The sequence below is a fragment of the Homo sapiens genome, chromosome 7 (genome assembly GCF_000001405.40).
Source record: "Homo sapiens chromosome 7, GRCh38.p14 Primary Assembly".
Classification (NCBI taxonomy): Eukaryota; Metazoa; Chordata; class Mammalia; order Primates; family Hominidae; genus Homo; species Homo sapiens.
In genome coordinates, this window is record NC_000007.14 from 149,734,926 (window position 1) to 149,758,346 (window position 23,421).

Here is a 23,421-nt window from a genome sequence, read left to right on the forward strand (position 1 = left end):
TGGTGTTTTCTACACAGCTGTCTCCAGATTTCCCCTTCATATCAGGGCAGCAGTTGTATGGGGTTATGACCCACCCTAATGACTTCATTTTAACCTGATTACCTCTCTAAACACCCCCTCTCCAAGTGAGGTCACATTTGGAGGTACTGGAGGTTAGGCCTTCACCATACACATTTGGGGAGGGGCACAGTTCAGCCTGTAACACACCAAACGGGCTGGGCCAGTCTTCCTGGTTTTGTCTTGGGAAAAGACATGACCAGGTATCACTAGCCCACTTCTGTCCTGGTTACCGGAATGTGCCTGCTCCCAGCCCGCTCAGCTGGCGCTTGGCAATGCGTTGGAACCAGCCTGCCTGTCATTCCCTTGCATCATCTTCCCAAGAGGCAGAATGCAACCTGTGTGCCCCCAAATCCCTTATTTGACCTGAGGTGGTTTCAGGACCTGTATGTGCACCTGTTGACTGGCAGGGCCAGCCTGGTGTGGACTGGCAGGGCCAGCCTGGTGTGGACTGGCACACTTGGCCCTGTCCTCAGGTCCCTGAGGAGCCTGGGACACCAGCACTGTGGCCTGGGGCAATGCTGGCTGCCCACCATGACTACAGGAGCAGTGCCTTGTGGCTGCAGCGCCCAGTGTGTCCCTCAAGTCAGGGTCACTGGGGACACACTCGGGGCCTAAGTGCCCTGCAGCTGAGCTTGGGAGCTGAAGCCCTTGCTCTTTGCCACCCTGTAGAAGCAGCAGGGCAAGGACACCTGTCAGAGGGGAATGCCCGCAACAGACTGAACATCACAAAGGGATGGGAAGATGCTTTCAGGACTAGAGTGAGCCCCGAGGTGACTGTCTGGAAACAGATCCTAAGACCATACAAGTAGGATGTTTGTTGAAATACGGAGGCTGTTCGCTCACAGCCGTGCTTGCACAGAATCAGGAAGGGAAAGTTTCTAGGTTGCTCCTGCCTGAGGAGCTCTCCTTCTAATAAGCAGGGAGCAGTGCCGGGCACGTTTCAGAGCCACGGCAAGGGGTGGGACACAGTTTCAGAGGGGGGTTGAGAAGCGAAACTGCCCCTGCCCTGACTCTGGCTGTGAGGAGAGGACTCTTGCCCACCCCTGCTGCAGCTGGTGCAGTCCCATCGTGCCTGCCTGTCCTCCCATTCTCCTTTCCCTTCTAAGCAGGGGTCACTGGGCTGTCGACTCAATGGGAGGGGGGGTCACCTTACACTTCTGTGTGGCACATTAAGGTGGTTTTGCTTTGCTGGCTTCCGAAACAGCCACCACGCAAACCCTAGTTGACAGGCACGACTGAACAAATGAGCATGGTGGCTGTAAGTGACTGTCACAGTTAGGCAGCCTTCAACCAGCAGAGCTAGGAAGAGAGCTCGAGCCCTCACCAGTGCCGCCAGCACTCGGCGCATCCTCACCCTGGGCACAGATGCCCCCTCCCAGCCTTTGCCTGCTGGGACAGACCAGGGTATTCAGGACTGAGCCTGGTCTAGGTGGTCCAGACCCAGTTGGACCATATAATAAGTTTAAAGTTGTTTTAAGAATGTGGATTCTAAGTAATAAGTGGTAAGAAGTTCCATGGTCTGCAGCTGCGTTCCTCCTGCAGAAGCAGTTCCCTAGGTCTAGGTCTCCAGGACCTGTCCACAGTCACTGAAACGCCTTCTAGAATTGATCTAGTGGAAAATCTAGATGCAGTTTAGGTCTTTGGCACTGTGCCCATCTCCTTTAAGAACTGTGCAGTGTGGCTTGGAAGAGGAAATGTGGTCCCTTTGATGGGAGAAACTGAAGGACCTTTTTGAACTCAAAGGAGCTCCAGGGTTTGGAATTGGGGGCAGAGAAGGCTCCAGGCTGCTCATTCCATCCTGGGTGAGCCGAACGGGTCCTGGCTGATCTGAGTGCGACCTTCCCAGTCTGCCAGCCAGAGTCCCCCAGCAGGCAGGAACATGTGAAGGTTCCGCTTCAAAATATGAATGAATGGGCTCCTCGTGCCCCTATTATTTTCTGGCCACCCCCAGGGGTCCTGATGGAAGGGAGGCTGGCCTGCGGGGTGCAAGAACCACGATTCACTGCTCCCCGCTGAAGGTGCTTGGTCAAGAGCAGCAGGCATGCTGTTAACCTTTGTGCGGGTTTGTGTTTTGGATGTGGCTCCTATGCACAACCTATGGATTTTATCTCATAAACCATCTTGACAGATTTTGCTCGTCAACTGGGAGCCCTTAATCCATTTAAATGTAATTGACTGACTGATTTATTGAGGCTTTAACAGACTTTCTTACTTTGTGCTTTTTGTTTGTCCCACCTCTTCCGAGGGGGCTTCTCTTCCCTGCCTTATTTTGTATTAACACTGTTGTGGGTTAAAAAAAAAATCCATTTTTTCCTCTGCTGGCCTCAAAATGTAAAGAACTAAAAGGAGAAACACCCAAATTCACAATCATATTTGGGAGGTTTTAGCATATCTTTCTCTGAAAATGATGGAACAAATTGGGAGGGATGTAGAAGATTCGAACAAACTCCTTAACAAAATTGGCCTGATTGAGGCCCGTATAGGACAGTACACCATGGGGCCGGGTGCGGTGGCTCACACATGTAATCCCAGCACTTTGGGAGGCCGAGGCGGATGGATCACTTGAGGCCAGGAGTTCCAGACCAGCCTGGCCAACACAGTGAAACTCTGTCTCTACAAAAAATACAAAAATTAGCTGGGCATGGTAGCATGCACCTGTAATCCCAGCTACTTGGGAGGCTGAGACACGAGAATCGCTTGAACCCGGGAGGCAGAGGTTGCAGTGAGCTGAGATCATGCAACTGCACTGCAGCCTGTGTAAAGAGTGAAACTCCATCTCAAACAAGCAAACAAAAACTGTGTGCCATGGGACTGCTTAATATACATTCTCTTCAAGCATACACAGGACATTTACAAAAATTGACCATATATTAAGCCCTACAGTAAGTGTAAATAAATTTAAAATATTGAAATTATATAGGGTATGTTCTCTGACAATACTTTTACCTTTTAAGCTAGAATTAAATAATAACCAGAAATTCTTATATATTCAAAAATGAGAATTATGCTGCTAAAATAACCCATGTGTCAATGAAGAAATCATAATGGAAATTAAAAATGTTTCCCACCATGAAGGAAGTACCACAGGCCAGGTGTGGTGGCTCACGGCTGTTGTCCCAAAACTTTGGGAGGCTGAGGCAGGCAGATCACTTGAGTCCAGGAGTTCGAGACTAGCCCGGGCAACATGGTAAAACCCCATCTCTACTTAAAAAAAAAAAAAAAAAAAATATATATATATATATATATATATATATATATACACATACATACACATACACACAAACACACACACACACACACACACAGACAAAAATTAGCCAGGTGTGGTGGCATGTGCCTTTAGTCACAGCTACACAGGAGGCTGAGGTGGGAGAATCACTTGAGCCTAGGAGGTGGAGGTTGCAGTGAGCCGAGATCGTGCCACTGCACTCCAGCCTGGGTGACAGAGTGAAACCCCGTCTCAAAAAAAAGAAAACAAGGAAGGAAGGAGAGGAGAGGAAAGGAAAGGAACCATATCAAAATGTGTAGCATAAAGCAATATCAGTACTTAGAAATGTATAGACATAAGTGAGTATGTGGAAAAGGAAGGACAGAATTCACAAGGAGAAACAGAACAGCAAAGGAAATCCAAAGAAAAGTTAAAAAGGGCACACAAATATAAGAGCAGAAATTACTGAAATAGCATACATATAAATGATATAATCAACAAAGCCAAAAATCATTTCTTTACAAAGCTAATAACATTGACTACTAGCCTGTGATGAAATCATCAATGAAAAAAGAAAGCACAAATAACCAGTCTCAGAATGAAAAAGGTGACATTACTGCAGATGCCGCAGGCTATAGAAAGACAATAAGATGATATTATAAGCAACTTTTTGCCAAAAGTTTGAAAATTCAATGAAAATAACTCCCATAAGAATGCAACTTAGACTCAAAAACAAAACAAAACAAAACCTGAATAGTCCCATACCATTGAAAAAAAAATGCATTAGTGATCAAACATCTTACAAAAGAAACTGTAGGGCCAGGTACTGTGGCTCAGGCCTGTAATCCCAGCACTTTGGGAGGCCAAGGCAGGCAGATGGCCTGAGGTCAGAAGTTCAAGACCGTCCTGGGCAACATGATGAAACCCTGTCTCTACTAAAAAATACAAAAAATTAGCCAGGTGTGGTGGCGTACGCCTGTAATCCCAGCTACCTGGGAGGCTGAGGCAGGATAACCACTTGAACCCGGGAGGTGGAGGTTGCAGTGAGCCAAGATCACGTCCCTGCACTCCAGCCTGGGCAACAAGAGAAAACTCCATCTAAAAAAGAAAAAAGAAAAGAAACTGTAGGCCCAAAAGGCCTCACTAGTAAGTTCTATCTCACATTTAAAAAGGAAATTATTTCAATAATATACAAACTATTCCAGAGAATGGAAAAATATGGGACACTCTCTGACTCGTTTTACGAGACTGGCATAATCTTGAAATTTCCAAAACTTGAGGACAGTACAAGAGAACAAAATTACAGGCTAATCTCAAAAAATGTACATAGGAAAAATACTCAACAAAATATTAGCCAAAGAGAATCTAGCAATACACAAAATGTTTTACTGAGTAAAACATCATTACCCAGTTGGCTTCATCTTGTCGATCAAGAATGGTTTCAACGTTTGAAAATCACCAGTGGTAACCCACAATAATAGATTAAAGGGGAAAAGTCACATGATCATCTCAATAGCTGCAGAAAGATCACTTGATAAGAGCCAGCACCCATCAATATTCCAAGTGAACTGGGATGAGAAAGGAAATTTCTTAATTTGATGAGGATTATATACCAAAAAAAAGATGATAGCTGTATTAGCCTATTTTCATGGTGCTAATAAAGACAGACCCAAGACTGAGTAATTTATAAAGAAAAGAGGTTTAATGGACTCACAGTTCCACGTGGCTGAGGAGGCCTCACAATCATGGCGGAAGGTGAAGAAGGAACAAAGGCATGTCTTACATGGTGGCAGGCAAGAGACTGTAGGGGAACTGCCCTCTGTAAAACCATCAGATCTCATGAGACTTATTCACTATCATGAGAAAAGCAAGGGAAAAACCCACCCCCATGATTCAGTTACCTCCAACTGAGTCCCTTCCATAATGTGGGGATTATGGGAGCTACAATTCAAGATGAGATTTGGGTGGGGACACAGCCAAACCATATCAATAGCTAATATGCTTAATGGTGACATATTGAAGTGTTAAAAACCAGTATACCAAAACTAAGTTATATTTACATATACCCACAGCCAACAGTTAGAAAGTATTACTTTAAAGATTTTATTTGTAGTAACAAAAAACTCAAGAGCCCAGGAATCAATCTAAAAAAGATTTATGTGGAGAGAACTATTGAGCACTTTTTGTGATTTCCTTGAAGCACAGAAATTAAGAAACTTGCTCAAAGCTACACAGTTGCTAGGTGAGTTTGAGCTGGGATTCTCTGGCTTCAGAGCTAAGGAAGGCCCCAAAACATGCAGGGCGAGAGGCACACTGAACTCTGGACCTTCACATTAGATTCGTCAGTGTCTGAGGCAAATCAGGGAGGAAGAAATAGATTGTTATAAAAATTAGTAATCTGCAGCATCTATTTGTGTGTTACTTTGTTGAATGTCTGCCCCCCACACCCACCAGCCCCCAACTGTAAGCTCTGTGGATGAGGCAAATACATATGGTATATCTGGCATCAACACTGGATCAGCTACATAGTGGGGGTTCAATAAACCTGGATTGAATCTCTGAATAACACTCTTTTTTGGGTTTAAGACAGAGAGTGGGCTGGGCGCGGTGGGTCACACCTGTAATCTCAGCACTTTGGAAGGCTGAGGTGGGTGGATCACTTGAGGCCAGGATCGAGAGCAGCCTGGCCAACATGGTGAAACCCCATCTCTACTAAAAATACAAAAAATTAGCTGGGCATGGTGGTGTGCATCTGTAATCCCAGCTACTTGGGAGATTGAGGCAGGAGAATCGCTTGAACCTAGGAGGTGGAGGTTGCAGCAAGCTGTGATTGTGCCACTGCACTCCAGCCCAGGCGACAGAGTGTGACTCTGTCTCAAAAAAAAAAAAAAGAAAAAAAAGGCAGTGAAGGCGTTGGAATAAATGCATCGAAATTTTCCAAGTGTTTATTATTGGACCCTTGGATTCTAGTAGAAACCATGAGCTGGTACCATCAACACCTCAGGCTCAGCACCATGCTTCAGTTTCCCGTGTTAACAGGCCAGTCACACTTTGTTACAGAAGACAGGGCATTGCCCTAGGGCATCTCTGTTGACCCTGCATGTCCTCAGACACTCCTTCATCCCCTCCATTTAAAATTTTTAAAAATGATTCTGGCTTGGTGGTAATCTGGACATGGATCTTTAAGATGATGGAGAAGTTCATAGAGCAACAGTTCTCTTCCCTGAGTGCAAACTGGGGTCACTTGAGAGAGATTTAAAAAATCAGGTTTAGGCCCCACCTGTACAGATTCTCATTCATGGAGAATGAGATGATTGATAGATGGAGTTGGCATCTATCATCTATCTAGCCATATGTATGCGTGTATAAACTTTTTATTAAAATACAATATACAAAAACGTACACATTCAATTGGTATATTTATAAATTGCTGGAGATTCTGCCATGCAGCCCGTATTGAGAACCATTCTTGTTGGCAAAACTGTAGAACAATCAGAGTTTACCACTGCTGCCTCCCAGCCATTCCCCCTGCTAACCACAGAGAACTTCTGCATCTGTCTGCCTTCCACAGGCAGCATGCGTTTATTGCATGCCAGATTTCAGAGTGCCAGGAGCCCGGGAGCAGCCACTGTACGTCTCAGCAGGCTGGTGGCACTGCATTAGGCGGCCGCAGTTCGCCAGAACAGTGGGCCAGGCAGGGACCACAGGCCCCCAAAGATAAGCGGGCGGAGGTCTCCAGAAGGAGCTGTGAGTGTGTGCAAGCCCCGCCACAGTCCCGGGTCGCAGCTGAGAATAATCGAGCCAGACTTTCCTTTACCTCCCCTCCCCACCAATAATGACACATCTGCTCTGAGTCCCAGTACCTTGGGAAATTCTCAACTAGGAAACTAAGTAAATTAATCCATTCTCTTACCTCCTCCCAGGAAATAATTTGTATTTTGCCAGAAACTTTCAATCGACTTTGAGGCTGCTGTGAGCAGAACAGGAAGCTGTTCTGAATCTGGAATGCCTTTGCTCCTCCATCAAACCACACTGAGACCACCTGCTCTGCCAGACCTCGGGCAGAGAGGCAGGAACCTGCGTTTCTGGAATCCCTATTTCGGAGGGGAGAGCTGGTCAAGGAAAGGGGCTTCCGTTCCAGCGCCTCGGCGCCATCTGCTGGGAAAGAGAGGCAATGACAATTCAGGGCTGCAACTGGTCCCCGTAGGGGGCTGAAGGGAAAACAGAAGTCGTGAAGCCCACCTTCCTACTCCCGAACATTACCTTAAGGGCTTCCTCAGAGATCCCACGCTGCCTTGTATATGAAGCCACCTTGTGTGTATTACTGGACAGAGGGTGAAGAGACGCCTTGCTACCAGCTCTCTTTCTACAGCAGAGCTTGGTTCTGCAGTCACCATGCTGGAAGGTGGGGGAAGGGCAGCCTCCTTCGGAGGTTCCCCACTGCCGAGAGAATCAGGTGTGTGCCTAATCCTGGCACAGGCTTCCAGAGAGGCAGCCACGAGCAGCGGTGCTGGGTTCAGATGAGGACATCACCTGTGGGGCTGTGGAAGGGACTCCTACTTGGAGGGAGTGAATGATGAGAGCCAGATGAACTTTAACATCACGTCCCAATTTAGGATTTCATATACCTGTCAGGTCTGATGTGAGATTTTTTTTTTTTGAGACAGGGTCTCACTCTGTCACCCACGCTGGAGTGCAGTGACATGGTCATACCTCACTGCAGCCTGGAACTCCTGGGTTCAAGCAATCCTCCCACCTCAGCCTCCCAAGTAGGTGGGACTACAGGTGTGCACCACCACGCACAGCCGGGTTTTTTTTTTTTTTTTTTTTTTTTTAAAGAGACAGGGTCTTGCTATGTTGCTCAGGTCTGTCTCAAACTTCTGGGCTCAAGTGATCCTTCCACGCTGGCCTCCCAAAGTGCTGGGATTACAGGTGTGAGCCATCATGCCTGGCCAAGATGAATTTGTACCTTGAAAATATTGTGGCCAGGCGCGGTGGCTCATCCTGTAATCACAGCACTTTGGGAAGACAAAGCGGGCAGATCACTTGAGGTCAGGAGTTCAAGACCAGCCTGGTCAACTTGGTGAAACCCCGTCTCTACTAAAAATACAAAAATTAGGTGGGCGTGGCGGCACATGCCTGTAATCCCAGCTACTTGGGAGGCTGAAGCAGGAGAATCACTTAAACCCGGGAGGTGGAGGTTGCAGTGAGCCGAGATCGCGCCATTGCACTCCAGCCTGGGCAACAAGAGCGAAACTCCGTCACAAAAAAAAAAAAGAAAAGAAAAAAAAGAAAGAAAATATCGTTTGAATGTGTGGCTCAAATAAGACCATTGAAAGCATAATTGTAAAATGTTGAAGTTTTGTGCCAATGTGTGCAAATATTTGGAGAGAGAGACCACATTCTCATTTAGACTCTTAAAGCAAACCATGTATTTTCCAGGAATGTTTCCTTGACATTGGCTTGACTTCGTGCCAGATCCCTTACTTCTCCCTGGCAGTGGCGAGTCCCTAACTTGACCCAACATTGCCTGAGCTGTTCTGTTTACTAACTACAGCAACAGCAACTAACACTTACTGAGAATTTATTATATGCTAATCACAAGAATGACATTTAATAAGGACCTGTGTTGGAAAGATTTGAGAACAGTCCTGCCCTTGACCACTTTTATAAATTAAGGTTTAGTGTTTTTCAACTGACTTTAGCTAATATTTACATCCAGAATGTGCCAGGCACTATGCCATATTATTTCATTATTATGCATTATTTCACTTTATTCTAGCACCAACCAAAGGAAGTATAATTTTATCTTGATTTTGCAGAGGAGGAAATTGAAGCTTAGATCAGTCAGTCAACTACTCAACATGGTGAGGGGGAGGGATGGTAGACAAGTCGCCCCTGAGCATCCTGCTGGTCTCTCTAGCTATAATATGTACTTGTTTTCCTCAGAATCTCTTACAGTCTTACAATGTCTGAGTTGGTGCATGTTGCAACTTTGTATAAGAATAAATGCAGACCCAGAGTCTAGGCAGTAAAAACATATATCATTGACCCAATAACTTTTTCCCATAAAAACTTCTGACACCCCACTCTTTCCCAGCATTGCACCCTGGATTTTATTGGCAGAGATTTACAGTAGCTTCCTAGGCTGGCTTGTGTGCACGTGGTCAGCTGAGAGCCAGATCTGGGCCTTCTCTATTGCTGCTCATCTCCCTGGCATGAGTGAGGGACTCGATGAGAGAAACATCTAATGGGGTGCACCAGAGAACTCACACTCTTGGCCCATCTCCTACTTCCCACCCGAATTCAACTGTCGACCCATTTCTGAGAGACATGTGACCAGAATTTCTTCAGGCAGGAAAGCTGACATGGAAACATGAACGGGTGGGGAGAAAGTAAGAGGGACACGGCCCAACCTGCAGATCTCCCTGTCTGGGCACCTGTAGTGAAGACACCAGGAGCTGGGTCCCTCACCTGGAAGAAACCATGCCTGCAGCCCTTCTCTCCTCCAGGATCTGAAAGCAAGGTGCCAGCTGGGCCTGGTGACTCAAGCCTGTAATCCTAGCACTTTGGGAGGCTGAGGCAGGAGCATTGCTTGAGGACAGAAGTTCGAGACCAACCTGGGCAACATAGCAAGCCCCCATCTCTACAAAAAAAAATTAAAAATAAAAGCAAGGTGCAGAAGTAACCAAAACCCCTTGTCACCCCATCCACCTCGTGGCAGTCCTGAGACAAGGATCTAAGAAAGGAAAGTAAGTTTACATGAAAGGATAATTTGGAGAATGTCCACTATTTACATGGGCCCTGGGTCAGTCAACAAAGTAGAGGAGAGACTGCTGGTCCCTCTGCCCTCTTAGCCTTGTTCTGTGGTTTCTATCCCTTCATTCCTGGCAGGGAGCACAGAGGAATCAGAGCCTCTTGGGGTGCTCAAGGCGGGGCAAAGACCTAGGGCCGGGTCTTGCTGCTTGCCAAGGCCCAGTGGCAATTCAGGGTGACTTCCTGTCTTGGCACAGGCAGGAAAGGTGACACCACAAGGAGTTCGACTGCCACAAGGAGTCGAACAGCCCTGGCTGCTGTTCTCCCAGAGGATGCAGGGGCTGCACTGCTCCTAGGACTGCATAGCCACCCAAGTGCTCCAAATATCGAGCATCGTGAGCAGCAAGGGAAGGGCCGGGCTGGGTGGGGACAGCTGCTGGAGCCATGGTTGGTCCGCCAGGCAGGGGAACAGCCTTCCAGCAGGGTCTTGGTGACACTCTTATTGATCAGATCCAGAGCCAGACCTTCTGTTAGGGGCTAGCTCAAGGCCAGAAACCTGTAGCTCAGGAGAGCTTGGCTTTAGATTTCTAGAAATAATGGGAACAGTTGCCAAGTCACTAACACAGCCCCAGGAAAGAGCATCTCCTTAAATGTTGTGCCCTGGCACCTTGCTTTCCTCACTCTAGTCTCAGCTTTGGCTGAAGGGGTCAGAGGCAAGGTTAAGGGCTCTCTGTTGAGGGGCTGGTGGATCTAGTCAAAGAGAGGCCACTTCGGTGGAGTAGTGCTGAGATCTGTCAGCCTGGGAAGTTTGGCAGGAGGCCATAGGCACTCTGGGGGCTCATACTGGGCTGAAATCCTCATGATTGGGCTGGAGTATGAGCCCCAGGAGTCCAGGATCATGGAGAAGATGGCTTTGCTTGGGATGGAGGAATTGAGCAGCTTCTTGGACACCTCCTCAATGGATGTCTAAAAGGGTTCTTCCTCCTGCTGGGAGAAGCCAAGCTTGGAGGTGGGCTCCAAAACCTTGTCTGGAGGTGCTGAGGCCCTGAGAATTGCAGGTTGGGCTCTTTCAGGCCAGGAGAAAACAAGATCTGTTTCTACCAGACCTGAATTTCCTCCGTCTCTCCCTCTGCTAACCATCAGTATTTCAAAGACTCCTGGGTTGGGGATGTAAACCCAGTATAGGAGGTCTTTGTCCTTGAAATGAGAGGCTGGGACAAGTCCCTCTAGGACTGGACTGACTCCTCTTGGAGATCTGGGATGGGAAGATGCATCTTTGCAAGGTGGGCACTCCAATTTGATGGCCTCTAGGAGAGGCACTGCCTCCCCTGGCTGGATTCCTCTAAGAGAGGTTTCTGCTTTTGTCCAGTCCCGAAGCAGGAAAAGGGGTTTCTCCTTCCTCAGCTAGGATCACCTGGGGGCTTGTGAACTCTCTGGCAGGGATGACTGAATCTGAGCTCATTAGTTTATGGGTGTAGCCCCCAGGGAAAGTTGGATCTTCACTGAGGGCTGCAACACCAAGGCCTGTTCACAGGGAATTAAGTGGGCCAAGGTGTGAGTGGGCATCAGGGAGTCCAGGTTGGATGCACAGATTCCTGACAAGTTCTGCAGTGGGTCATCCCTGCTATTTAAATACCTGGGGCACCCCCCAAGTAGCCACTGGCATTGAAGCAGATGGCCCAGAAGAAGACCTTGCCATTGGTGGATATTTCGCTAAAAACATATTAGGGAGGAGGCTTGGCAGATGGAATACTTCCAGCCTGATGTAGAATGAGCTTCAATTAGGGGAAATGTTTCTCCATCCTTGTATAGATGTCTTCCAGTCACGTGTTCCCATCCATGTTGAAGGCAAATTGAATCATATCCAGTTAGGCTGGGGCACCTCATTATTAGCGGGCTCTGATCCCAGGGTGGTTCTCTGTCTCCATTGCTTGCTGCTGCTGCTGGAGCCCAACCCATCAGAACTCATCTTTCCAAGTCAAGAGTGAAGCACAGCTGCCTTGTGTCTGCCTGGAATGGGCTCCAGTGGTTTGGAGGATGAGTTCTGGAGAGCGAGTTTGGAGAATAAACTTCTAGGACCGCCTGTTGCTACTGTCTTTTCCTTTAGTGGTCAAGAACGAGACATTGTTCAGACTATTGCCATCTTTGGGGACAGCCATTATCTGGGTGTTGGGTGGGGGTGGGGGTGATTAATAACCTTGATTCCAGTTGGAAACTTTCAAGGGTCAGCACTGCTGCCTCTCAGGAGCCCTGCACCCGACCAGGATCAGGTCAAAGCCCTGAGAACAGTCTGAGGTCAAAGCCCTGAGAACAGTAAGGGGAGGGGAGCAACCAACATTAGTGTAAACCCCAGAATCTGAGCCTGAGAACAGAAGCTCTGATGTCCGAGAGCAAACGATGACGTCCCAACTCTAGAACAGAGAGCAAATTCACTTTTCCTCTGCCTTTTTGTTCTAGCAGGGCCCTCAATGGATCGGATGGCACCCACTCACTTTGGTGAGGGCAGATTTTCTTTCAGTTGACTGATTGAAATGCCAGTCTCTCTCAGTAACACCCTCACACACACCCAGAAGTGGTCTTTTACCAACTATCTGGACATCCCTTGGCCCAGTGAAGTTGACACATAAAATTACCCATCACAGAAGCTCAACTCAACTAGCCAAGACAAAAGGAGAAATAGGCCGGGCATGGTAGCTCGCACCTGTAATCCCAGCACTTTGGGAGGCCGAGGCAGGTGGATCACTTCAGGTCAGGAGTTCAAGACCAGCCTGGCCAACATGGTGAAATTCCATCTCTACTGAAAATACAAAAAATAGCCGGGTGTGGTGGTGCTGTAGTGGTGGTGCACCTGTAGTCCCAGCTACTTGGGAGGCTGAGGCACGAGAATCATTTGAACCCAGGAGGCAGAGGTTGCAGTGAGCCAAGATCATGTAACTGCGCTCCAGCCTGGGTAACAGAGAAAGACCTTGTCTCAAAAAAAAAAAAAAAAAAAAAAAAAGAAAGAAAAGAAATATACTGGCTCAATGAAGTCATGGGAATGATTGCTTCAAGAAGCAGGCAGAATTACAGGGATAAGAGATTTATTGGGAAGTATAGCTCCCATCAGAGGTGAAAAAGGGAGAAAGCAGTCTCAGGCATGATGAGCATCCGACCCCTCTGCAAAGAGAGCTGGGGGCGGGGGGAACAGGATTGTGCAGCTGGAGCCTCAGACCCTGATGCACAAAGTCTCAGACACCCTGACAGAGAGCTCTGGCCCAGAGAGCTTATTCACCGGCTTATTAGACGACTTCCACTTTGGGTAGAAATAGCCCGGCATGGTCACTGGCTGGGGACTTCCTGGGAGGAGCATGGCCTTGGCTCACAAGCTGGGGTGGACCCTGGGTACACTGACAGCAGCCAGCTGTCAGCTCACCATCCTCTTCACAGAGGAGCAGCATTGGGTTTGGAAGGGAAATCCAAGGGTGCATCTCCATGGTTGCCACAGAAACAAGGGATACGGTTTGGCCTAAGGAATGCCAAGAATCTGAGGCTCATCTGATACAAAGACCTTCTTCGCACCTCATTCCTACTTTACTCTGCGGTCAGCTCCATTCTCCCTCACTGAAAACCAATCTCATTCACATGATAAGAAATATGGCCTATGGAAGCTTCCATGTGTTACTTCCTACAGCTTTTGTTACCCAGGAGGGTCTGACTCACACGGTCACTGGTCCAAAGTTCAAAATCCTGGGGAAGGCCAACTGGCCCAGCTTGGGCTGGGTTCCCTCTCCTGGACCAATCACCTGGTGCCAGGGCCAGGACCATGCAGAAATACAGCAGCTCCATCTCACCAAGCAGCTCCATCTCACTGTTTTTTAGAAAAACAGCAGCACTGACTACATACAATTAGATATCTGTTCCAAATGGTCTACACATCTTGTCTCCATTTCCTCACTCCAATTCACCCTTCAGACATTTGCAGTCGAACTTTTGCCACCATCATTCTACTGAAGCAGCTTTCTAAGTGACCGCCCATGAGTTTATAGTTAATAAATCTGATGGTCCTCTTGAACTGTCAATATAACAGTTGCTGACATAGGACTGGCTCTAGCTATTGTGCCCACTGCAGTAGATACTTGGGCCTGACTGTCCAGCCTGGGGGCCAGCATTTCCCTGGGAACTCCCATTTCTTCCATAAACGGGTAGGACATGACATCCATAGGACAACGATCATAGCTGAACAACCCTGGGATCAACTTGACCTTAGCTTAGCTAGATTCTTTCTTCCAGGAGTCTGGAATTGAGAAAGTTAGTCAATTGTTTGAATGACTACACCAGTAACTGGTCAATGTGGAAGCTATGGAGAGGCCACCTTTGCTGTGCTCTATGAGTGAAGAAGCAGGAAAGCTGGTCCACAGAGAAGGAAGGAAGGAATGCACAGAGAAGCAGGGGAGAAAATAGCGCATCTGGTGAGTAACCCTGGAAGAAAGCAGTTGTGTGGGGTACACAGCAGAGCAGAAGCTGAAGCGTGGTCATTTAGAGGGTGCATTGCCCTCATTAGGGAGTCCCTAATGAGGAGCCCCATACAGGGAGCAAGTGACCTAGAAGAACTCAGCAAAGGACCTCATGAGAGACAAAGTCACTATTCCAGCAGCATCCTGCCACACAGAGGACACCTGGGTTGGGTGACAACAACACTGGTCAGATGGGAGGCATTCTCCTTCCCCTCCTTCCTGTCATCCCCCTGGGGGAGCCAACTGGGGCCCAGGGTGTGAGGAAGAGCAGTGAAAGAACAAGATGGAGATCACTGAGACCTGGGCCCCTTTTCCCATCACAGCAGTCCCCAGTGAGATTGGAGAGATGCTTCAGAGTGGATGAGATATAGAAGTTGTGGGTTAGATGGTGCTAGACTTTTTAGTAACTGAAAATGAGACTATTCTAACTTCCAAGATATATTAGGATCCACCAAACATATGGTCCAGGAGTGGGTGTGACCAGAACTTCTCCTGCCCCTGTACACTCACTACCGTGCCATGGGTCTTGGCTGCTGTTCCCACCAAAGACGGTTTTCCCACCTCTTAAACCTTGGGGGGCTTTGTAACTTGATTTGATCAAGAGAATATGGCTGAAGTGACACTGTGTGAGTGCTGCAGCCATGGCTTCAGGAAGCCCTTACAGATTCTGCACCAGCCCCCTTGGAATACAGAGCTGGCATGTCGGAGGCCCGGGTCAGCCTCCTGGAGGAGGAGAGAGAGGCCTAGCCAATAGCTAGCACCAACCACTGGATATGAGAATAGGACCATTTTGGACCACCCAGATCCAGTTGGGCCACAAGAGCCACAAGGTAACTGTACCTGCAAGGAGGAACCCAGGTGAGACCAGCCAAAAACCACTCTGCTGAACCCAGTCCAAACTGCTAACCCACAGAACTGTAAGCAAATAAAAGGTTGTTTTAAGTGGCTCAATTTCGGAGTGATTTGTTACACACAATAAAAAAGTGATATAGCGAAGAAGGCAGATACAACAGAATGGGTTTGAATGCGACGATGAAAGAAGAAAATAAAGTTGTTTCTTGCCACTTCCCAAGTCCAGCTCATTTAATTTACAAGCAATATTTGCAAAAGGCAGATCCGGGCAGCGATGTGAGATTTTTCCCCTGGGTATTCTCAAGTGCCTAAATACCTACTTGGTTTAAAATAGATAATTCTCAGCTGGGCACAGTGGCTCAGGCCTGTAATCTGAGCACTTTGGGAGGCCAAGGCAGACAGATCACTTGAGGTCAAGAGGTTGAGACCAGCCTGACCAACATGGTAAAATCCTGTCTCTACTAAAAATACAGAAAAAAAAAATTAGCCAAGCGTGGTGGCAGGTGCCTGTAATCCCAGCTACCCAGGAGGCTGAGGCAGGAGAATCACTTGAATCCAAGAGGCAGAGGCTGCAGTGAGCCAAGATCGTGCCACTGTGCTCCAGCTTGGGCGACAGAGTGAGACTCTGTCTCAAAAAAAAAAAAAACAAAACAACATAGATAATTCTTATCTCTGGACTCTCCCCTTGTCCCACTCTGCAATGTTTCCCTTCGGACATCTCCTCACAGAGCTGTGGAAAGCTCAGAAGGCCCCTCTCTGAAGCCTGACTGCTGGTCACCAGCATTGGCCCTCAGAAGGCTGCTGCCAATCAGGGCTGAGGAGAAGCCGTGACCTTCACTGGGAATAGAAGTGGGGGCGAGGGGTGAGCAAGCTCTGCTTTCTTTCCTGAAACAGCAAAATGAGACAAGTGTGTGCACGCTGTGCTGCTGCAGCTGCGAAATGAAAAGCTTCTCATTAGCATCCTTTGCACAGGGGTAGGGGTGGGGGATAACTCAGGGACAGCTCTCAGAGTGCAGAGCTGGGGCTTCTGTTCCCAACCCAGGCCCCCGGCAGGCCCCCTAGGTGTGTCATCTGCCTCCAGCCCAGCTAGGCAAGTGTGCTTCCATCTGGGTTGGGGAGAGGGATGGGTGGAAGTCTCCTGTGGGGTAATTGTGAGTCCTGATCTGGTCCCAGAATGTGAGCCCACCTTAGTTGTGGGACCCTGGGACCTCCACCCTCCCCAGCCCGCTGAGCAGGGAGGGGCATGCAGAGCTGGGTGGAGGGGAAGCAGGTTCCTCTGGCCACACAGGCTCTTCCTGTGCCAGGGGCAGCCCAGGCACAAGATGACAAGGAGAACCGGAAACTAGCCAGCAGGGCCTGCCCTGCAAAATCATGGATTTCCTCTTTCCCTCCCTCCCACCCTTCAGGCCCCAGCAGAACCTCTCTCCTCCAGGCCTCCGTTCTGTCATGCAGGATGAGAGCAGAGGTTCTTAAACCAGCTCTGCGGACCATGTGGGCCCACAGAGGGGCTTAAAGAGGGTGTCCACATACCCTCTAAAATTACGTGCAAATCATTGTTTCTATGCACATTACTCTGAAGGGAGCTTTAAACAACTAAATGCTTGGTGGTTTGCTAAAGGTTAGGAACCGACAGCCTAGAAAATTCTCAGGCCTCTCCAACACTGACATTCCTGCTTTCCCCTTTCTGTCTGCTTTCCTGAGTGTGGTTCTCAGCTCTCTTCTTAGTTCAGGTAGCTCTCTTCTCATCTAATACATATACTTTGCAGTAACGGCCAACGAAGGTGGTATATTACAGTGAGGCTTTAAATGGGACATGCAGAGTATGTGAAACATACCAGATATCTAACTCACATAATTGCATTTGAGCAGTAAGTTTAGCTTTAACCATCTCAGCAGCCACATGAAAAAATAGATCGCTGAATTTATTAACTTTGGGATTTGTGTTTGCTGTCACCCTGTCTTAGTTCACAGCTATAACTCTGCAGGGGTGGATTTTAGGCACTCAGATTATCCGGTAGGGGAGGGATTTTGAGATGGGTAGGCCTTGTAAAGGCTCCTCTTCCACCTGTACAATTCAACATACGTGTTGTGAGTGTTCAAATGTGCCAGGTCCTGGAAATACCAAGACAAAAAAACACGACTTCCGCCCTCGAGATGTTCCCAGTGGGCCTGGAGAGATGAGGCTCCTACAAGGGTGTAACCTTTCTAAACCCCGGTTTCCTTACCTGAGAAGTGAGGACAGCAACCCCGTACCAAAGGGGGCTTAGGGGAATTAAGTAGGAGCCTCAGTCACAGGAGGCACTCACACATTTTAGGCACACGCGGACACACCCAACAACTGCAGGCGACATCTGGTAAGGTGGGAAGCAGAGGAACCATGACAGCTTAAAGGAGGAGATTGTTGTGTGCTGGGATCATTGGGGAAGGACACCCCCAGGAGGTGGCCCCCATCTGTGCTCGAAAAATAGGTAGGATTTAAAAGGGAAGTCAGGGCAGTAGGCACTTTGTGATGGGGAAGCCCAGGGAGGCCGGGGCAGGAGGCAGGAAGGACCACACGGCCCGGAGACAGGAACAAGACCGCTTGGTGTAAGGGAGGGTGTGTACCCAGGAGGTTTGGAAAATAAGTTTCAAAAGTTTGTTGGGGCCAACTGTAGAGAGCCTTGAGTTAGAACAGACATGTATTGCACACTGGCTAGGTGGGCACTCTGCTCTGTGCCAGGGAAGCTTGCCACCCCCAGAGGGACACACAGAATAATGTGGCACAATGTGTCAACCGCTAAGGCCTCTGGATATTCAGATGAGCAGAAGTTTCTAAGCTGGGGCGTAATAAGTTATAAGGAAGATCAGCCTGACAGTTGGAGGATAGATGGGGAAGCAGGAGTTGGGGAGAAGTCAGAGGGGGACCTGATAGGAGAAGGTTGCCCACTGGCCTGGGCTTGGGGGGACAGTACTGGGAGGGTCAGGGGCAGCAGGGGCAGCAGGGCAGGCATCTGCAAAGGATGAGCGTGCTATGACGCGAGCTCCATCATTCTGGAGAAAGAGGATCCTGAGGCCTTAGGAGTTCTCCTGGAAGCCCCACAGTGAAATCTCAAGAGAGAAAATCCCAGCGAGGACAGGGACACTGGGCCCACGGGAATCCTGTCTTGCTGGGCCGGAGGGGAGCCCTGGGTCTGGCTCCTGTAGAGCCTGAAATAGAATCCGATTTGCGATGCCCCTAATGATGTTATGTAATGACATTGCATAAGCCCGTTACGTAAATCAAAGTCCTGCTATTGACCAAGAATGTCCCCTGCCCCAAGGCTGACCTAATCCCACGCCTGAAGGCTCAGTCCTTTGTGGCAGTTGGATAAATCTGTTTCCTAAAGCCTCTGTGAAACCCTCCCGACCTTAAAGTCTCTGTCTTTAGGGTTCCTGGGGCCTCCTTCTCCGTTGCTGCTTCTCCACTGTGGGAGGCCTCAGTGTGACACTCACTCATCCTTCCCCAGGTGAGGGTTCCCAGGGAAGGACAGGATTCCAGTCCTTCCACCAGCGTGGAATTGTGGCCGTGCGCCCTCTTCTGGGGGTCTTGCATACTCCCTCTGACTGTGAAATACAAGACTTGTCTCTGGTTAAAAGACATTTCAAGGATCAGTAAGTGAGTGAAGAAGTTTTCTTCCCTGTGGGGCATGGGTGGCCTCCCCAGGACCCTGGAGTTAACAACTACGAGCAGGTTCTTGAGTCCCAGGAGCAGAAAGAATCTTTCACTACTGGAAACCAGCATGTCCCGTGAACGCACTCACCAACCTGTCTGCCTTCAGTCGGCCCATCTGTCTCCCTGAACATACTAGCAGAAGCCCTCCCACCCTCAACCCACCTCGCCAACCCCCACCCCGGCTCCCCTTCAAGCCCTCTCCCCAGCATAGGCAACATCTTCCTCGGGAGGCTGTCTCCTTCCTTCATCTATGTCTCTCTACAAGTAAATCCTGGTGTGCACACCACCACCCCCGACACATAAACACAGTTTACAGAAACACCAAACAAAACAGTCATGTTTGATGGAAAAAGGCTGAGTTCCCAGTTGCTCTTAGTGTCTCCTAAAAGTCAACTGTTTACTGTCCTATCAAAGCTATTTTACTGTTATAGGACTAGGAAAAATTTAAATTTAAAAATCACACGAAGAATAAAGTAACACAAAGCAAAACTGTTTATGTTTTATCTTTTTTTTTTTTTTTTTCAGACAAGTTCTTGCTCTGTCACCCGGGCTGGAGTGCAGTGATACAATCTTGGTTTACTGTAACCTCAAACTCCTGGGCTCAAGGCATCCTCCTACCTCAGCCTCTTGAGTCACTAGGACTACAGGCCTGCTACCATGCCTGGGTAATTAAATTTTTTTTTTTTTTTAGAAATGGAGTCTCCCTATGTTGCCCAGGCTGGTCTTGAACTCTTGGCCTCAAGTGATTCTCCCACCTCGGCCTCCCAAAGTGCTGGGATTACAGGTGTCAGCCACAGTGCCCAGCCTCTTTTGGCTTTTTTGAATGATATGACACATCTCCAAAACATAGCACAGGGTGGATCCAAGAGCTCCTGGGGTAAGAGCTGCCTGGACCCACAGGTCCACTCTCATGGGCTCTGATTAGAGCTGCACTGCCCCATTCCCTCCCAATACCAGGAGCCCTCATTTCAGCCTCAGCTCCCCCAACTTTGACACAGTATTTTACTCAAGGTCTCTGTTATGAATTGAATTGCGCCCCCCAAGAAGTCCAAAAAGTTGTGTTGAAGTCCTAGCCCTGGCCCCAACCTATGAATATAGCCTCTTGAAAATAGGATCTTTGCGGATAAAATCAGGATGAGGTCATTAGGGTGGGCCGTTCTCCAATATGACTGTTGTCCTTATAGGAAGAGGAGGGACACAGACATGCCCAGAGTGGAGGAGACCCAGGAAGAAGGTGATGGGAGGATGGAGGTAGAGATTGAAGTGCTGTGTCTATAAGTCAAGAAATGGCCAGGAGAAAGGCCTGGAACAGAGTCTTCCCTTGAGCCTTCAGAGGGAGTGTAACACCTGATTTCACACTCATAGCCTCCAGACCGTGAAGGAATAGATTTCTGCTGTTTTGAAGCTATGCAGTGTGTAGCACTTTGTAAAGGAGGCCTCAGGAAGCGAACACAGCAGCTTCGGTGAACGCAGTGCCACATGGCACAGCTCCCCCCTTGCCTGTGTGCAGGGGGCAGCAATGTCAGCAGGACAATTTTCAGGCAATTCACAGAGACTGTGGCTTGGAGTTGGGCCCAGGCTGGCCAGTGTCTTGGGAGTCTGTGAGGCCTCGACCCTCTTCCCAGGTTGCTATCTGCCTGCCCCATAAACACATCCTGAGACTTTGCTACCTTCCTTTCCCCCTTCCTTCCTGGTGTTCTCTCAGAGCTGTACCTGTCTGCACTGCCTGGTCTCCTTGGTACATCACCTGCTTGGACATCAGCCACCCTTTCTCAGTGCCTCGATTCAGGATGCCATAATATATGTTTTCTATGAAAATGAAGCTTCATTCTGCCTGCCGATTCCTACCTATTTTAAATCACAGCTGACATCCACGCCTCAACAAAGATTCCCATAGCTGTAGCTCCATGATTCATGATCGCGTCTAGAAAGGGAACATTTTGCAACAGATAGCCAGGCCCAACTTCCATGGCTTCATGCTTCTTCCCAGGTCTCTGCCACCCAGCACTGTCCTCTCCCAGGAGACAGATGCATGCTAATGCCACGTGTGTGTGTAACAGGTTTCCCGGCTGGCTGGAAGCCTGGTCCCCAGTTGCTTACAGTCTTGGCAAGTTAATTCACCTCCTCAGAGATGCCCTCCTGATCTCCAGGTGTGAGTCCCTGCTCCTTGCTCCTTGTTCCATGATCCTTTGCACATACTTCTCTTACCAACCCACTAGGTCCAACCGCGAGTCTGTGAGTGCCCTGAAGACCTTGAATGTGTGTCCTGAAGACCCCTCTCTGCAAGGGGACAGTGGAGCTTGGTGTTTAAAAGTACAGGTCCTAGGAAAATGCAAACCAAAATCACTCTGAGATGTCGCCTCAAAGCCATGAGGATGGCCAGTATCAAAAACCAGAAAATAACAATTGTTGGCAAGGATGTGGCGTCATTGGAAGCCTCATGCATGGCTGGTGAGAATGTGAAATGGTGCAGATGCTGTGGAAGACAGTATGTCAGCTCCTCAAGAAATTAAAAATAGAATGACCATATGATCCAGCAATTCCATATCTGGGTATATACCCAAAAGAGCTGAAAACAGGCACTCAAACAGACATATGTACACTCCTGTTCACAGCAGCATGATTCACAATACCATAAGGTGGAGGCAACCAAGTGTTCATTGGTGGATGATTGGATAAACAATGTAGTGTAGACATGCAATGGAATATTCAGCCTTAAGAAGGAAGGAAATTCTAAGACCTGCTACAGCATGGATGAACCTTGAGAACATCATGCTAAGTGAAATAAGCCAGTCACAAAAGACAAACACTATGTTATTCCACTTATAGGAGGTCCCTAGAGTAGTCAGATTCATAGAGATAGAAAGTAGAATGATGGTTGCCAGGGATTTGGAGAGGGGAGAATAGGGTTTAATAGGCACAGAGTTTCAGCTTTGCAAGGTGTATTAGTCAGGATTCTCTAGAGAAAGACAACCTTGGGGTGTGTGTATATACATGTAGAAAGAGATTTGTTTTAAGGAATGGGCTCATGTGATTACAGGGGCTGGCAAGTCCAAAATCTATAGGGTGGCTTTGGCTGGCTGGAGACCTAGGGAAGAGCCGATGCTTCTGCTGGCTGAATTCCCTCTTCCTTGGGGGAGGTCAGTCTTCTGTTCTGTTCAACTGATTGGGTAAGGCCTACCCACATTATGGAGGATAATCTGTTTACTCCAAGTCCACCAATTTAAATGTTAATATCATCCATAAACCCTCATATAAACATATAAAGATAATGTTTGGTCACATATCTGGGCACCATGGTCTAGCCAAGTTGACACAGAAAATTAACCATGACACAAGTTGAAAAGAGTTCTGGAGATGGATGGTGGTGATGGTCACATAACGTGAATGTTCTTTATGCCACTAAACTGCAAACTTAAAAATGGTAAAGATGTTACATTTTATGTTCTGTGTATTTTGCCACAATTTAAAATAATGTAATTTTTTAAAAAGCACAAGCTCTAGAGTCAGACCACCAGGTTGCTTTCTTGCGTCACGTATGGCCTCATGTCTGTGCACAGGTCATGGAGACTGTCTGAGTTTCCTTCACCTCATCAGAATAACCAGACTGGGGCGGGCACAGTGGCTCACGCCTGTAATCCAAGCACTTTGGGAGGCAGGCGGATCCGCTTGAGGCCAGGAGTTCAAGACCAGCCTGGCCAACATGGTGAAACCCCGTCTCTACTAAAATACAGAAAAATTAGCTGGACATGGTGGCACGTGCCTATAGTCCCAGCTACTCCGGAGGCTGAGGCACAACAATTCCTTGAGTGCGGGAGGCAGAGGTTTCAGTGAGCCGAGATCGTGCCACTGCACTCCAGCCTGTGCAACAGAGCAAGACTTGTCTCAAAAAAAAAAAAAAAAAAAAAAAAAAAAAGAATAATTGGACCAGGGACAACGATGCCCCATAATAGGGAGGTGGTCAGAATAAACAAAGCAACACTTGTAAACCCTTAATTTGTATAGTATCTAGCAGAAAGTAGGTGTTGATAAATTTTGGTTTATTATTATTATTTGAGGCAGAGTCTCACTCTGTTGCCCAGGCTGGAGTGCAGTGGCGCAATCTTGGCTCACTGCAACCTTTGCTTCCCAGGTTCAAGCGATTTTCATACCTCAGCCACCTGAGTAGCTGGGATTACAGGCACGTGTCACCACGCTCAGCTAATTTTTTTGTATTTTTAGTAGAGACAGAGTTTCGCCATGTTGGCCAGGCTGGTCTCAAACTCCTGACCTCAACTGATCCGCCCGTCTCAGCCTCCCAAAGTGCTGGGATTACAGCGTGAGCCACCGCGCCCGGCCTAGTTTATTAGTATCATTATTCC

The 23,421-nt window shown here is 48.2% G+C and overlaps 1 long non-coding RNA gene across 1 annotated transcript, besides 2 other annotated features; it reads right to left on the bottom strand.

Moving 5' to 3' along the window:
• Window positions 136–1,052: an enhancer, noted in NCBI's record as "H3K4me1 hESC enhancer chr7:149432150-149433066 (GRCh37/hg19 assembly coordinates)". NCBI's record gives its function as "activates a minimal SCP1, AML or CMV promoter by ChIP-STARR-seq in naive H9 embryonic stem cells {active_cell/tissue: H9 hESC(naive)}" and the evidence as "EXISTENCE:reporter gene assay evidence [ECO:0000049][PMID:30033119]".
• LOC124901771 (uncharacterized) lies at window positions 4,949–7,375 on the bottom strand. Its single transcript, XR_007060585.1, has 2 exons — window positions 7,182–7,375; window positions 4,949–5,087 (listed from the first exon to the last, which is right to left on the bottom strand). It is a non-coding gene; the product is annotated as an uncharacterized LOC124901771 (long non-coding RNA).
• Window positions 6,981–7,510: an enhancer, noted in NCBI's record as "H3K4me1 hESC enhancer chr7:149438995-149439524 (GRCh37/hg19 assembly coordinates)". NCBI's record gives its function as "activates a minimal SCP1, AML or CMV promoter by ChIP-STARR-seq in naive H9 embryonic stem cells {active_cell/tissue: H9 hESC(naive)}" and the evidence as "EXISTENCE:reporter gene assay evidence [ECO:0000049][PMID:30033119]".